Source organism: Homo sapiens, chromosome 3 (genome assembly GCF_000001405.40).
Source record: "Homo sapiens chromosome 3, GRCh38.p14 Primary Assembly".
In the NCBI taxonomy this organism is placed as follows: domain Eukaryota; kingdom Metazoa; phylum Chordata; class Mammalia; order Primates; family Hominidae; genus Homo; species Homo sapiens.
Window position 1 is genome coordinate 59,865,092 of NC_000003.12, and position 13,889 is coordinate 59,878,980.

Consider the following 13,889-nt stretch of genomic DNA (forward strand, 5'->3'; position numbering starts at 1 on the left):
CTTCATCTTAATTGTATAATTTCAATTTCATTTAAAAAAAGAAAAAAATTAAACCAAGGAAGAAATGACATTTTCTAAACTGGTGAGTTGGGTTATCAAACTTAAAAGCATAAAAAATTAATACTGTGGGATTAGCATTATTATAGAAATACATTAAATCTTATATTTAAATACCAGTCTTTTAAACCATGGCTGTCACAGTGAAAATGTTAATAGTATTTAAACATAAATCCTTCTCCCCATGAAGAATCATTCATCGTGCAAGCACGTTAGCTATTCTATTCACTTTAGAGATGCTGCCTAGCAGAGCATTTTAACGTAAGCCTTGTCAGTGTTAATCCTAATGTCTGATGCTGAGATGTGTGTTATATTACTTTATGTAGCTGAAAAATGGGAAGCCTTTATGTCAGATTACAGGCTGAAATAACGACCTCCCCTTGGAGCCAGGGCCTGGGATATAACGAGGTGCCAAATGGGATTCTAGGTCAGAGCCTCTGCAGGACATAAAAGGGAACAGATCTTTTGTTAAGACCCATTCACTCACTAACAGAATGCTTTTACCCTTTGCAATCTACTTTATGGCTCCTCTGCAAAGAAGAGTAACCAAGAGAGAAAGTCTTGATTCACAGTGGGGCTTACCAGCCAAGCTTTGGATTCAGGCAGGCGATGGTGGAAATGTACCCAGCCACTCCTTCACCTCCACAACCAACAGTCTAGGGCTACGGTGTTCAAATTGCATTCATCAAATTCAGAGTGGGGAGTGAGAGCCTGAGGTTCGGCAGAGGCAGGAACGGGGAGAGAGAGCATCAAAGTGGATCCAGTGCCTTCTCCATCCTCACTGCATCCAGAGCAGTTCCCTCTACATCTGTTTTATATACCACAGTTTTATGAAAGATGGCACATGAAATATGGTTCTCCTGTTAAAGTAACTCATTAATTCAACAAATATTTACCAGCCACAGACAATAAACCCCTGAATAAATGAGCACATTTCAGAGAGTGATAGACGATACAGAGACCAGCAAGCATGATGATGAGATAGAGAGTACCTGGAGTAAGGGCCACTTGCAGAGAGGACAGGGAAAGCCTGGCTGGGGTTTGGTGGGGAATCTGAGCTGAGTCATGAATAAGCAGAAACAGCAAGCCATGTGAGATCCAGGAAGAACCATTCCACGCAGAGGAAGTGGCCAGTACAGACAGCCTAAGGCAGAAACAAGCTTAACGTGTCCAAGAATAGAAAAAGGGCAATGTAACTGCTATTGGGTGAATAAAGAGAGGCATGGAAAAGATGAGGAAGGCAGATCATTCGGGGCATTCCAGACTCAAACAAGGAGTTTGGGTGTCATTGTGTAGTGGTTGGAAGCCAATGGAAGGTTGACAACGGGGGCATGACAAAATCTGTTTTGCGGAGTTCTTCCACACAGAGAGTAGATTCCAGGCACAAGAACATAGGCTGGAGGATCAACAAGAAGACTGTTACCTTCCAGGACCTGGAAGAGAGTTGCAGTGAAGATGGTGCAAATTATCTGGATCTGGGATATGTCTAAAAGTAAATCTGATGGGACTAAAGGATTACTTGAAATCACTAACCAGAATTTGAGAAGGGGAGGGTGGAACACGTGGTATGTGGGGAGGGAGGAGATAGTGCTTAGAAAGAATAGAATAATTGCCACTTCTGTAGATAGCTTCTGGCCAACTGACTTAGCAAAGAGCAGCACAATATCCTTGGGCTGAGACCAGCGGGTTTGCCACTGTCTCTCACCGGCAATCGCATTCTTGCTTCCAAATCCGGCTGATAATTTAGGAAGGTTTTATGTCACCGCTGCTCGGCTTCTTTTTGTGCTTTGATTACCTATTCTCATACAACACTTAAAGGTGGTCACAGAATAATCTCTAATGTTTTGCTTTCTATGATAAATAAGGGGTTCGTGAAGTTCATTAACAGGGATTGCATCACCCTCCACCCTCTTTTACAACCACACCATAAAAGTAGCCTCTAATTAGTTAAAAGACTACAAATTATACCATCAACGTGAGGTATGGCAAAATCTGATGGCTCTAATTATCTTAATAATCAGCAGAACCACTCTCAACCTAATAAGAGAATGAGTCATTAGTGGTAGTTTATGAAGATCACCGACATTCTCTTTGTTATGGAGTTTGTCCTTCCTGTGTTAAAATTTGGACACACTTTCTACTTGAATCTAAAAAGGATGATTTCTAAGAAGTTACTGAAGCAATGCAAGATCAAAACATAATAACCACATTCATTCTTAATCAGCATTACAGTGAAAGTAATTTACCAAAGAACACATAATTAAGTCATAAATGAAATCTCAAGACAGAAATTGCTCCCCTTTTAAGATTTCTCATTGTCCATACACTCAGAAATGAGAAGAGGGATTTTCTCATTCTGATCCTAAATCTATCACTGAAATGATGACTTCACTTGCATTTATGCATTTTGCTTTATTTTGTGATTACTTTATCTCACTATCCTCCCCTTTTTCTGCTTGTGTGATTGCCTTAATCCTTTTATCTAGAACCAGGGGGAGTTCCATTAGCTTCAGCTTTTTGGTATGCCTTAGCCACAGAAAACTATTTTGTGATTCAAAACTGCTCTAAAATTCAGGACCAAATATCACATATTATGTACTCCCTAGACTTTTGAGAGTTTCACTCTAGATTATAGAGGACAAAATCATCTCCCCACCTCCACCTTAGGGTATGTACTCCCCATCTCAAGTCATAAGATAAACCTATTGTGGTCAGAAGGCAGAGTACTCTAATAACCTTGTTATAGTTGAAGAGACTGAGTCCATGAAAAAGTTACGGACCAAGGTTATACACAGAGCTGGTGACAGTCTTGAGGCTAAAACCCAACGTTTTACTCTTAGCTAATGTTCTTTTGGGCTTAATGAATGAACTACTGCTGTGGAAATGTTTTTTTTTTTTTAAAAAAAAAAAAAAAAAAACCTTTCATTGTGTTTTGCCAGAATAAAGACTGAACATGGCCCTAGCGGAAGAGCTAAATTCATTATCTTTAAAAAATGAAATTTTCTCAAATCATAAATGCAGTCACCAAGTGTACCTTCTTTCTCTGCATTGCAGTACACCAAAATGCCAGTCCTCTCTACAAACACATTTTATGGATCCCAAAGCAGAGAGATTGACGTTGTTCCATTTCCTGTTCACAGTATAATCAGGACAAAGGAATAAGATTAGTATTGTGCCATTTCCACGCGGAAAAAAAAAATTGTTTTCTCCATGTGACTGTCAGTGTATGTCAAAATGATAATGGGGAATGTGTAATACAAGATATTGCTACTTATCAATGGACTCTGAAAAGAAAATTAGCTCAAGCATCCCTTGATATAAAAAGCAAATATGAGGTCTTGAATCACACCATCCTGCTATCAACATGTTTTGTTACAAGTCAGTTTATGTTCCTTGAGTACCACGTGGTTTACAGTGCATTTCTCTGACAGCAATACAGAACCTCAAACAAATATTACCCTTGCCTCCAATACCAACCAACATTAAATACAAGTTCTATTCCTGAACTCAGTGGCATTCAGAAATTCAAAATGCTTAGATGCCCTCTCCATCGATTTGCTTCTCTGGGTATTGGGCTGACTTCCTGTTCATCAGGGGGTGGTGGTGGTGGCTGGAGGAGGAAGTAGATGGTTTTAACCATTTGTAGGTCTAATTACTCAAGCTCAGTGAGCCCACATTGAAGAAGGAGAAGGAGAAGAAGAAAAATTCTCTTTCCTATTGTTCATATATAAAATCCCAGGGAAAGATTCTAATCAACTCTGTTTGGATCACATGCTTACTCCTTGGGCCAATCGCTGTGGCCAAGGGACAGTGTAGCTTAATTAGGCAAGCCTGGTTACATTCCCATCCTGTTGGCTTGGAAAGGGGGATACTATGACCAGTAAACCACCCCAAATCATATGAAATGTAGGAGAACGGTTATTTAGTGAAAATGAAGCACTATTATCAGAAAGAGTTGGAAGTTATACTAGCAGACAGAAACAACAACACTCCACTGCCTTTCAAATAAGTTTATTATGAAATGAAACTACGGCTCCTCTTTTCTAACAGACCGATTTTGTGATTAGAAGTAATAGGTTTTTCTCAACCAACAAGCTCAACTAGTTTAGCTCTTTCTACCAGATGAGCCAAGAATAAAGGACACATAAGGGTCTCAAAGATTATGCTTTCTATCCTGCCCAAATTCTGTAACCATTACCTTTTCAGTAGGTGATACATTTCCCAATTTAGACTTCACATTATAGAAAAAAACCATCCTTCACTGAGTTGTATTTGATACCGAATGCCTGCATTTTCATGTACTAGTCATTATTCCATCTTTCCTTAAAGAACATCCTTTTTTTTTTTTTTTTAGACAGAGTCTCGCTCTGTCGCCCAGGCTGGAGTGCAGTGGAGCGATCTCGGCATACTGTAAGCTCTGCCTCCCGGGTTCACGCCATTCTCCTGCCTCAGCCTCCCTAGTAGCTGGGACTACAGGTGCCCGCCACCACGCCCAGCTAATTTTTTTTTTTTTTGTATTTTTAGTAGAGACAGGGTTTCATCATGTTAGCCAGGATGGGCTCCTCCTGACCTCATGATCTGCCCACCTCGGCCTCCCAAAGTGCTGGGATTACAGGTGTGAGCCACCACAACCGGCGAAGGATACCCATTTTTAAAATACCATTTAATTTAAAGTTACCAGATGAAAGCTGCCCACTGTAATTCCAGGGAAATTTTACTCTTAGTTTTCTTCTTTATGGTCACCCAAATCTAGATTATTTGAATTCTTCTTCTGCAGTAAAATTAATTATAATCATAGCTTCCAATTTTTAGCTGCTACTTATTGAGTGCTGACTATTCTTGGCATCAGCTATATTATCATTAATCCTCATACCAGCAATTATTATCATCTCCATTGTATAGCTGGGGAAACTGAGATAGAGTTCAAAGAATTTACTCAAGGTCATACAGCTGAGAAGTGACACATCTTGGAATCAAACCCACCTCTATTTCACTACCAAATGCCTTCTCCTAACTATATACTCTACCCCTGCATCGCGAGCATCAGGCACCGAGTCTCTCCAAGGCTCTGTGATAAATACTACTCTTGTGTGACCTCATGTCACCCTCACTTTTCACTCGGAATATAAGGATTCCCATTCCCATGTCACAGGTGAGGAAACTGAAGCTTAAAGAAATTCATCAACAGACCTAGTTTGCCCTGTATATAGAAAAGCTCAGGTAGTCTCATATTTTAATCTCTTTTTAGCCTCCTTTTGTTTTGTTTCACTCAGTTCAGTCTTAACGAGTCTTAATAGTCAAGAAAATAAAATCATAGTAAAGAAAACAACAAAGGTATCTCATAAGGACAAGAACTAATCCATCCCACTCCTACTGGGCTGGCTCCTTTTGGCAGTGGTGATTGCTTTCTCAGATGTCTTAATAGAAGAGAGAATTTGTGAAAGCAGAGAGCCCCATTAATAAGGAAGGAAGAACCTGCAAGGTGCAAATAACTAATCTCTTGTTGCTTTCCTGTTAAGGTACCATGCATGTGTCAAAAATCAAAACCAGGGAGCCCAGCCTCTAATATGAGAAGATTCCAGATTTCAAAAGCACTAGGTACTATTTGATAAACCAAACATTTTCCCTGTTATTGCTAGAAGCAGACACACATAGGCACATTTGCATCCTCTATATTGATACTTCTCAAATCATCCATAGTAAAGGGCGTGTGTGTGTGTGTGTGCGTGTGTGTGTGTGTGTGTATTTAACCTCTATTTACGGCAGTCTGATTCATGACCCTACTGTAAATGACTACTACATAGTTCATACCACATGTGACTTGCCACACAAGTCTGATCACATTGGAACTGGTCTTCTCCTTGTTCAATAGGATAAGGCCACCAATTATATACTTGGATGTCATGGTGACTTCAAATTGCTATAAAGTTTCTTATCCAAGACTGACAACTTGCATTTCTTCAGGACTGGCACTGATCCTCCAGCGACATTTTGAATGGCCTACTCCATAATTTTTTGATACAGGGTAGCAAATACTATGCCTATAGTGGCAAGGAAGTGTGTACTCTGCTGAGGAAGTCACCTCTGCAGCCACCAGAATGACATTTCTGAAGCCAGTGAGAGCAATATCAGAGAGCATCAATATTGTAAATACGTTTTGATCTTATAGATAACCTGAATTTTGCTGTGTGCGCTATTAATAACTAATATTTGTAAGAATCTCAACAATTTTCAAAATGCTCTCTTATATGTTAACAAATGTAGCCCTACTACAATCCTGTAACATAGTATCCTTACCCACCCCCCCACACACGCACACATACAAAGACCACCACCTCCACCCCATTTTTCAGATGAGGATAATGGGGCTTAGAGTATTTGGGTGACAAGGCTAAGCTCACATAATAAGTTTTACAGGCTAGCAGGAATAACACCAAAGTTTCATTTTATTTGCCCACTCCAAAGAACTGATAATGACAGCCAGCCAGGAAGCTACTTGGAGGCTGTGTCTGGGTTCAGTGGGTAAAGAGTCTTTGAGAGATTAGCAATGTCTGCCGGGTAAGACCAGATACACTGGATACCCTTGGATAGATTCCAATCCAGGTAGCCTAATTTCCTTTTCCACATCCTTTAGCACTCCACATAGAGTTGTTTCTCACAAGTATCCACATTTAAAAGAGGTAACCTCCCAGAACAGAAACTAGCTGACATTTTGGAGGCAAAGTCTGTTTCTCTTGCGCACTGAAGACAAGAAGAGTCAATTTGTGATACGTGTTACAGAGATAATACACATCTAAACAGCGGTGATAAATGCATGGGAATTACAGGCAAAACCAAGGTGATACAAAGTTTCCAAAGATTAGATGTATCTCAGATTAAACTCTCCAGATTATACTAATCAATTACAGAAATGGGGCTGAGTGGGAGTAGTCACTGAAGCCACCGTTGATGTACTTTCCCTAACCATTTTATGCAGGCATTCCTTCATGGGGGTCTCCTCAAGTCACTGGAGTCCTCAGCAGGGGAAAGGAAAACAGCAATAGAGAAGGAGGTTAGGATCTTGGGCTTCATTTTGGGAGTCACAGTACTAAAACATCACCTCATGATTAGCAGATAAAAGGTGCTGCCCTGGGCTCAGGCAATTACAGGAAGAAACAACCCTAAAGCAGAATTCACAACATACTGAGTTCATGAGGAGGGCGATGAGGCTGATGTGGGGACTGGCTTTTCTTCTTGGTGACTCAAAGACAAAGCCAGCAGTACTTATTTAAAACATGCCACGTGCTCATGTTTATGTGAGGAGTAGAAGACAACGGCTTTGGTAAAGGAGAAAATTCACTGCATAATTGAATCTTTGAAATTCCAGAGGGAATGGCCTTTTCTGAGAACAATGTCTGTTATTAACAGAAGAATTTCGAGGCCAAATGCAGAGTTTTCCACCAGGTTGCATAGTGAGAGTCATATTTTGAATGGATATATAGTTTTTTAAAAAAAGAACTCTGAAGAGTTATGGATGTTTCTCAATATCTTTCTCAAGAAGGCAACAGATTTTGGACTCAGCAGATAACCCTTTATCCTATAGCTGTAGTGATGATGACATGATAAGCTGTGTAGCCTGAGCTTAGATGCAGAAGTGAATTCTGGGCAAGGGTCCCACTAACCTGTCTTCCCTGGGCTCCAGACCCACATCCCTAGCTCCTTGTTGGGGGCTCCAACTTGTACAGCCAGCACATCAGGCTCAGTAGGTACAAAGTTGACATATCAATTTTCCCATGAAAAGAGATCTTGTTTTGACAACACTAGTCTTTCAGTTACCTAGACTCAAAATCTAGAAGCAGCCCTGCTCACCTTCATCTCCTTCACAGCCTGAACTGAGTCAAGGGTCAAATCACATAGCTGGGTTAGAGATATTTTTGACACAATTCCTTCCTTCCTTTCCACCCACTTTGAGTTGGCACTTGCTTAAACACTCCCTGTTTTACCTCTGGATAGTTACAGTGCCCCTCACTTGTTTCCTCATCTCCAGTAATTATCCATTCCAACCCATCCTTTAAACCCATGCCAAAATCACTTTCATAAAGCTTACCTCCACATTCAAATCTCAGTACTCTACCAGGCACATGGTGGCTATTCAGGTAATATTTTCTGGATGGATGGATGGGTAGATGGACAATGTATTTACTCATCATTTACTATATGCCTGACATTGTGCTGGGTATTAAAGACAGCAGGAAACAAACCAACTTCTAACAAAACACTTCCCTGCTCATGAGCCTTGAATGGCCAATTAACATAAATGGTTCATTCCAGCATTCAAGCCCTTCTGCAGCACAGCCCCATTCTAATTGTTTCACTGGTCACCTACTCTCCCATCTGTCCTCTAGCCAAGGGTTTCTGACCTTAGCACTATTGACATTTTGAGCCAGACAATTCTTTATTGCAGCTGCTGTCTTCTGTATTACAGCATGTTGAGCAGCATCCCTGGCCTCTACCTACTTGATGCTAGTGGCACACAGCCCCACTCAAGTTGGGACAAGCACACATGCCTCCAGACAATGCCAAATGTGCCCCGGGGGAGAAGAGTCGAAAAGAACCCAACTGAGAACCACTGGTCTAGGGTGGCGCCCAATTTACACCCACTGTCCTAGGGAAATTATTAATAGTACTCCCCTTTCACTTTCACATGTGTTCCAGTTTAGAAGACAAACTAGATTGGTTCCCTGCTTAAATCTCCCGAGACAGCAACCTTGCTCTGTTCTCATGCAGATTGAAGAGGAAAGCAACAAATTAGTATGAAGCCTTCAGCTTCCAAGCAACACTTTTTTTTTTCTGGTGAACCGGTCTCCTCTTTAAAGATTCAACTTCTCTCTTCTTCTTTCAGCACATGCAGTACTGGGAAGTAAAACTGGCCCAAATGCTCTGCAGGGAAATGTGAGGATCATAAGCTATCCTCGCCTCTCAAAAAAGAATCACAAAAATATTTACAGCTTTTCTCAAAAAGTTTCATGTTCCAAAGATCCCCTTCTACGTCATTCTAACCCCAAATGCCTCAAAAAGAAGTTCAAAGCTCTCAAGTCCATCGATCCAACTTCTTCTCTGGCCAAAAAACAATTTCGTGCCATGTGTTAATGCAAAGGGCTCATGCTGTATTCACGAAATGCCAAGACACCTGGTTAAAAAGTTCAAAAAAGTTAAAAATTGATCCATAATTTCGACTAGCATGGTAGTTCTCAAGCTTTACTGTTTCAGAATTCCCTGGAGTGCTTGCTGAATTGGAGGTTACTGAGCCCCAGTCAGCAGAGTTGCAGATTTAGTAGGTCTAGGGTGAGGCACAATAATTTGCATTTCCAAGTTCCCAGGTGATGCTGATGCTGCTGGTCCAGGGATCTAGAAGATGCCCGCTGCTCCCTGCTTATTCCCTCACAGACTGAAACGTACGATATTACGGGGTTAGGACAGTGGGCTTGGGAAAGAAGGGAGGGAGGTCAGGAGACTTCATCCGGCTGCTTGCTTAGGTTTTGTGTTTTTCATTTTTTTTTTTTGCCAGTTAGTCAGAAGAAAACGATTTTACCCTGGCCTGTGCTGGGCACCATGCTAGGCACTAGGGATGCAGCAAGAACCAGACAGACCTTGCCTCCTGCTGTTTTCCCCTTTAGAGCCACAAGCTCTTCTATGGGCTCCAATTCCATTCCTTCTAGCACTCCCTTTCAGTTCATCAGCTGCTAATCAGCACCTTCAATCACTCTCCAAATCCCCACAAGACAGCTTCCATTTTTCAAAAGCAAAGCCAAAGGGAAAATCAAGAGTTTTTAGAAGCATCTCCTATTTCGGCAAGTGCTTCCCTTTTTGACTCTGATCCATTTCATCAAAAACCCTTATTAGAGTGGTCCTTCCCAGGTGTATCTTTTTAGTTACCTCTGGAGATAGGAGGTGCATCCAGTTTATTCTTTCTGCTTTGTTTCCTGTCCAGAGGAGAAGAGTGCTTTGATCCAACACTGACAACCACGTCTGCAGGGGCCTCAGACTTGCTTCCAGGGAACAATCACTCAGCCTATGATTTTGAATGCTTCTTTTGTCACTGTCACCAAAGCCTGAGGGAAAGCAATCTACACGCTGGTTGACCTCTGAGGCGACTGCCAGAGGTGCCAGCTGTTTCCCCTAAACTACTACTCACTGTTGAATGTCTAGGTTTCCATCTCCCAGGGAAGACATTGCCCCAGCTTACCTCTTCATCATCATTTGGGAAGGCCAGAGAAGTGTGGGCGAAGCCATCCTGCCTGGCGTCCTCAAGACTCTTGTCTGATACCAGGGCTCTCTCTGGGTCTATAATCTTTGTTCAGGGAATAGGGAAAATGTCCTGTGATTTGTTAATCCCTCCTGTGCAGTGAGGGGGAAGTTTTAGAGTAACTATTTATATTTTTGTGATATCAGGAGCATCTAGATATCTTTGCTTACAAGTTTTTTTTTATAATTTTAGCAAAGGAAAATTTTATAGTTTTTAGCAAAGGAAATTTTACCTTTCATCATAATAAAAAATGTATTCTAGAGGCCATTATTCATGGGTTAATATTATCAGGGAGCTAACGATGGCTTAACAAGAGATGGGAAGCCATTTTGGAAGTGTTCTATTATGGAAAGAGGGAGGGCCTGTGACATGGATTCATATATCATATTCATATGGATTCATATGCCAGCCATGCGTCAGCCATGAGTAACATCATTTCTTAAGATGTCAGAGTTTTTCCCAAGCACATATGCCCTCAGGATGAGAAACAACTCGTCTGTTTGATAAAAAAAGAAAAAAAAAAGAAAAAAAAAAGATTTTAGTTCAAGAATTTTATAGATTACAAATTTCAGAGATTCTTTATTCCAGTATAGAGACACAGAAATCAAAAAGAATCATCACTCAAATATACATAGGTCTATTAGGTGGGGACACCTGGTAGATGTAATTATAGTTTCATATGCCTGTATTTAATGCCACTGAACTGTACTCTTGAAAATGGTTAAAATAGTAAATTTTATGTTATGTGTATCTTACCACAAATATATATATGTATATATGCAGAAAAAACATATATAAATATATATTCATTAATTAGGTATCTGAATAGGGAGCTATGATCTTAAAAAAGATTATTTTTTCCTAAATGGCAATGTGAATTTCATGTGGCTTAAAATCTTCTAGTATGGATTTTTGGTGTTTGATAAGCTACATTATTTAAACTAGAATAATCTGGAATTATAGAGAAGTATTTGGCTTCTGGGGCCACTGGGACAGGGGCAGGGAGGGAGTGTGGGAGCAGCACCCCTCCCCAGCCCCTGCTGCTGTGGGAGTTGGGATGGGGATGGCACTTCCCTCAAAGGAGACCAATGTTCCATTGTCAGTCAACTTAGGGCACAAAACAGTCTTCAAGAGAGAAGAGGTGGAGGGGACTCATACCTTTGGTGGGAGATAAGCCCCTGCTACAGGGTAACACAGGTGAAGGTCAAAATGACTAGTAGAGAACACCTCCTGCCACTAAGGGGTAAGAGTAGTAACATGTAAAATCCAGCTTTAAGCTTTACTTTCCTGTGTTAGTATCAGACACTGCTGGTTGTCTACCTACTTTCTGTTCCCCCTTCTTACCTCACTAACGTAACTCCAATTTTGAGAGGAAGCTACCCTTTTTCATTTGTTCAACTTCTTCTTGGGAAGCTAATCTTACCCTTGACCCAACTGGCCTAAGCCACTGATAGGAATAGGAAGATGATACAATTCCGGTCATTCACATGCTCAGCTAGCTGAGGAGACATCTGTGAAACAGTTCCTTGTCCATCAAAAGAGACACATAAGAAGAAATGAGAATCATTCTTTTCCAACTGTTAATGGGTCTAGATAGGATGGCTATACTACTGTAGTTATTGTGTGACCATGAAGTGTGCTAACCTTGAGCCAGAAGCCAATGCAGGGAAATTGAAGAGTAGAAAGAAGGGAAGATGTTATATTCTTGAGTATGACATTTATGCAACTGATGTAACCATTCATTATCTCAAAGGTGGAACTATCCTACCCTTAAACTCCTTACTATTGGAACTTTTTGAATCATGATTTCTATAATGTGCTGCCAAAATCATTCTACTTAACTGGTTCAGAATTGTAATTCTTTCAGGTTTTTCCTAAAGCCATTGAAAAATGGTTTGTCATAAATGACTGTGTAGAGTTGACAGGGCCTTTGGAAAACTGAGTGGGTGCTGATGACCATACAGGGATAAAGTGGTCATGGAACAACCTCTGCGACATGAAGATATGGCTGCAAGCAGCAAGAGATAACAAGCAGGAAGGCCCAGAGCAGTGATCCATAGCATAAAGTGACAAGTGACAGGAGGGACAGGCTTGTGGGACATGTAAACAAGCCCTATGGTTCTTCAGAAATACGAGTGGAGAGGAGGTCATTTAAGACATTGACCATGTTCAGACATGCAGAGTAGAGGCTTGGGCTATGATCATCAGATACCAAAAGAAAAAGTAAAAAGATGAAGATTTTAGAGGGATTCAGATAATACTGGCTATAAGGAATATCACAGGATCTCCTGCCAAGAAAATGAGATTCCTATATGATTTCTTATATCTCTCCATATGTTTCCTATAAGAATACTAGCCATCAAAATGACAAATTCAAATTGGTATATTCAGACAAATAGAAAGAAAGTATTTCCCTATCCCTCAAATGAGTTGGATAACCATGAATGGTGAGTCAGATGAGAAAGAAAATGCAACAGCTCTCACTCAGACCTGGACAAAATGTTAAAAGATTTAGTAGGATGGTCAAAAACATAGTTTTCACCTTAACTGCTTACTTTCAACTCTTCATTGGAATAAATGCATATAGGCCAAATTAATAAGGAATAAGTAGTTATATTTTAGGTTAATAGTTGTACCATTATTAGAAAAAATCTGCCTCATATAAATGCAGCCATGAGCACTTCCTCCCCTTTAAAAACTAGTATAATAAAAGGAATGACTGATTGTACTTGGCATATTTCCCCTCTCTGTGGTTGCATTTCACTGCAGTTATGAAAACATAATATAATTTTTCCCAAGGCCATGGTTACCTGACAGAAGCATTTAAAAACCAACTACACTTTGGACTTCCAGGCACGTGTGTGTGTGAGTCATAAGACAGTTCAGAAGAGAAATTCATATTTGACATCCAGAGCTCCATCTTCCCGCCTCAAGTGTCTGTGTGGATGTACTTACTCCAGTCTTACCTGAGTTTCAATAATATGGGTTTGTCACAGGTTGTTATGGGCTCTAACTAACAGCTGTCCACTGCACTGAGAACTATTATTTTCAGAGGCAGGTCAGAAGCCCATTTCTGACTCTCACGCATTGTAAAGAAATGCTGACCCCAAAGTGGGATTCTTTCTCAAATACACTCACCCTGTAAGCACCAGGTAGAGCCAGGAGCTTTCAAAAGTGCTCTGAGTTTAAACATTTCACAGCATGAGGAACACAGCCGAAGAGAAAGTGCAAGAAAAACAATATAAAGACATTATTAACTGTGTGATCACACAAGAGTGAGGCCTCCAGATGGGCCACCTCATAGTTATTGACGAGCGTTTAGAGAAGAACATTCATTACTCGATATTGACGCTAACGAGAAAGGGTTTGAGAGCAAGTTTAAAATGTAGAAGGAGGAAACACCCAAACCCCATCCCCATGGCAGCTAATTCACTGTTCCCAACAATTCTGCATGCTATTTTTTTTACTCCCCTTGTTCATATCTTATACTGTGATTAAACCCAAGCATTCTGACTGTAAACCCTTTTTTTCTGTCTATTTCGCATAG

General features: G+C 40.6%; 1 protein-coding gene and 1 long non-coding RNA gene across 11 annotated transcripts in view; one reads left to right on the forward strand and one right to left on the reverse strand.

The window, feature by feature from the left end:
- Window positions 1-13,889, reverse strand: part of FHIT (fragile histidine triad diadenosine triphosphatase) — a 1,504,176-nt gene that overhangs the window by 117,815 nt on the left and 1,372,472 nt on the right. The gene's annotated exons all lie outside the window — the stretch shown is intronic.
- LOC105377113 (uncharacterized) overlaps window positions 1-13,889 on the forward strand; it is a 70,563-nt gene that overhangs the window by 14,058 nt on the left and 42,616 nt on the right. The window lies entirely within an intron of this gene.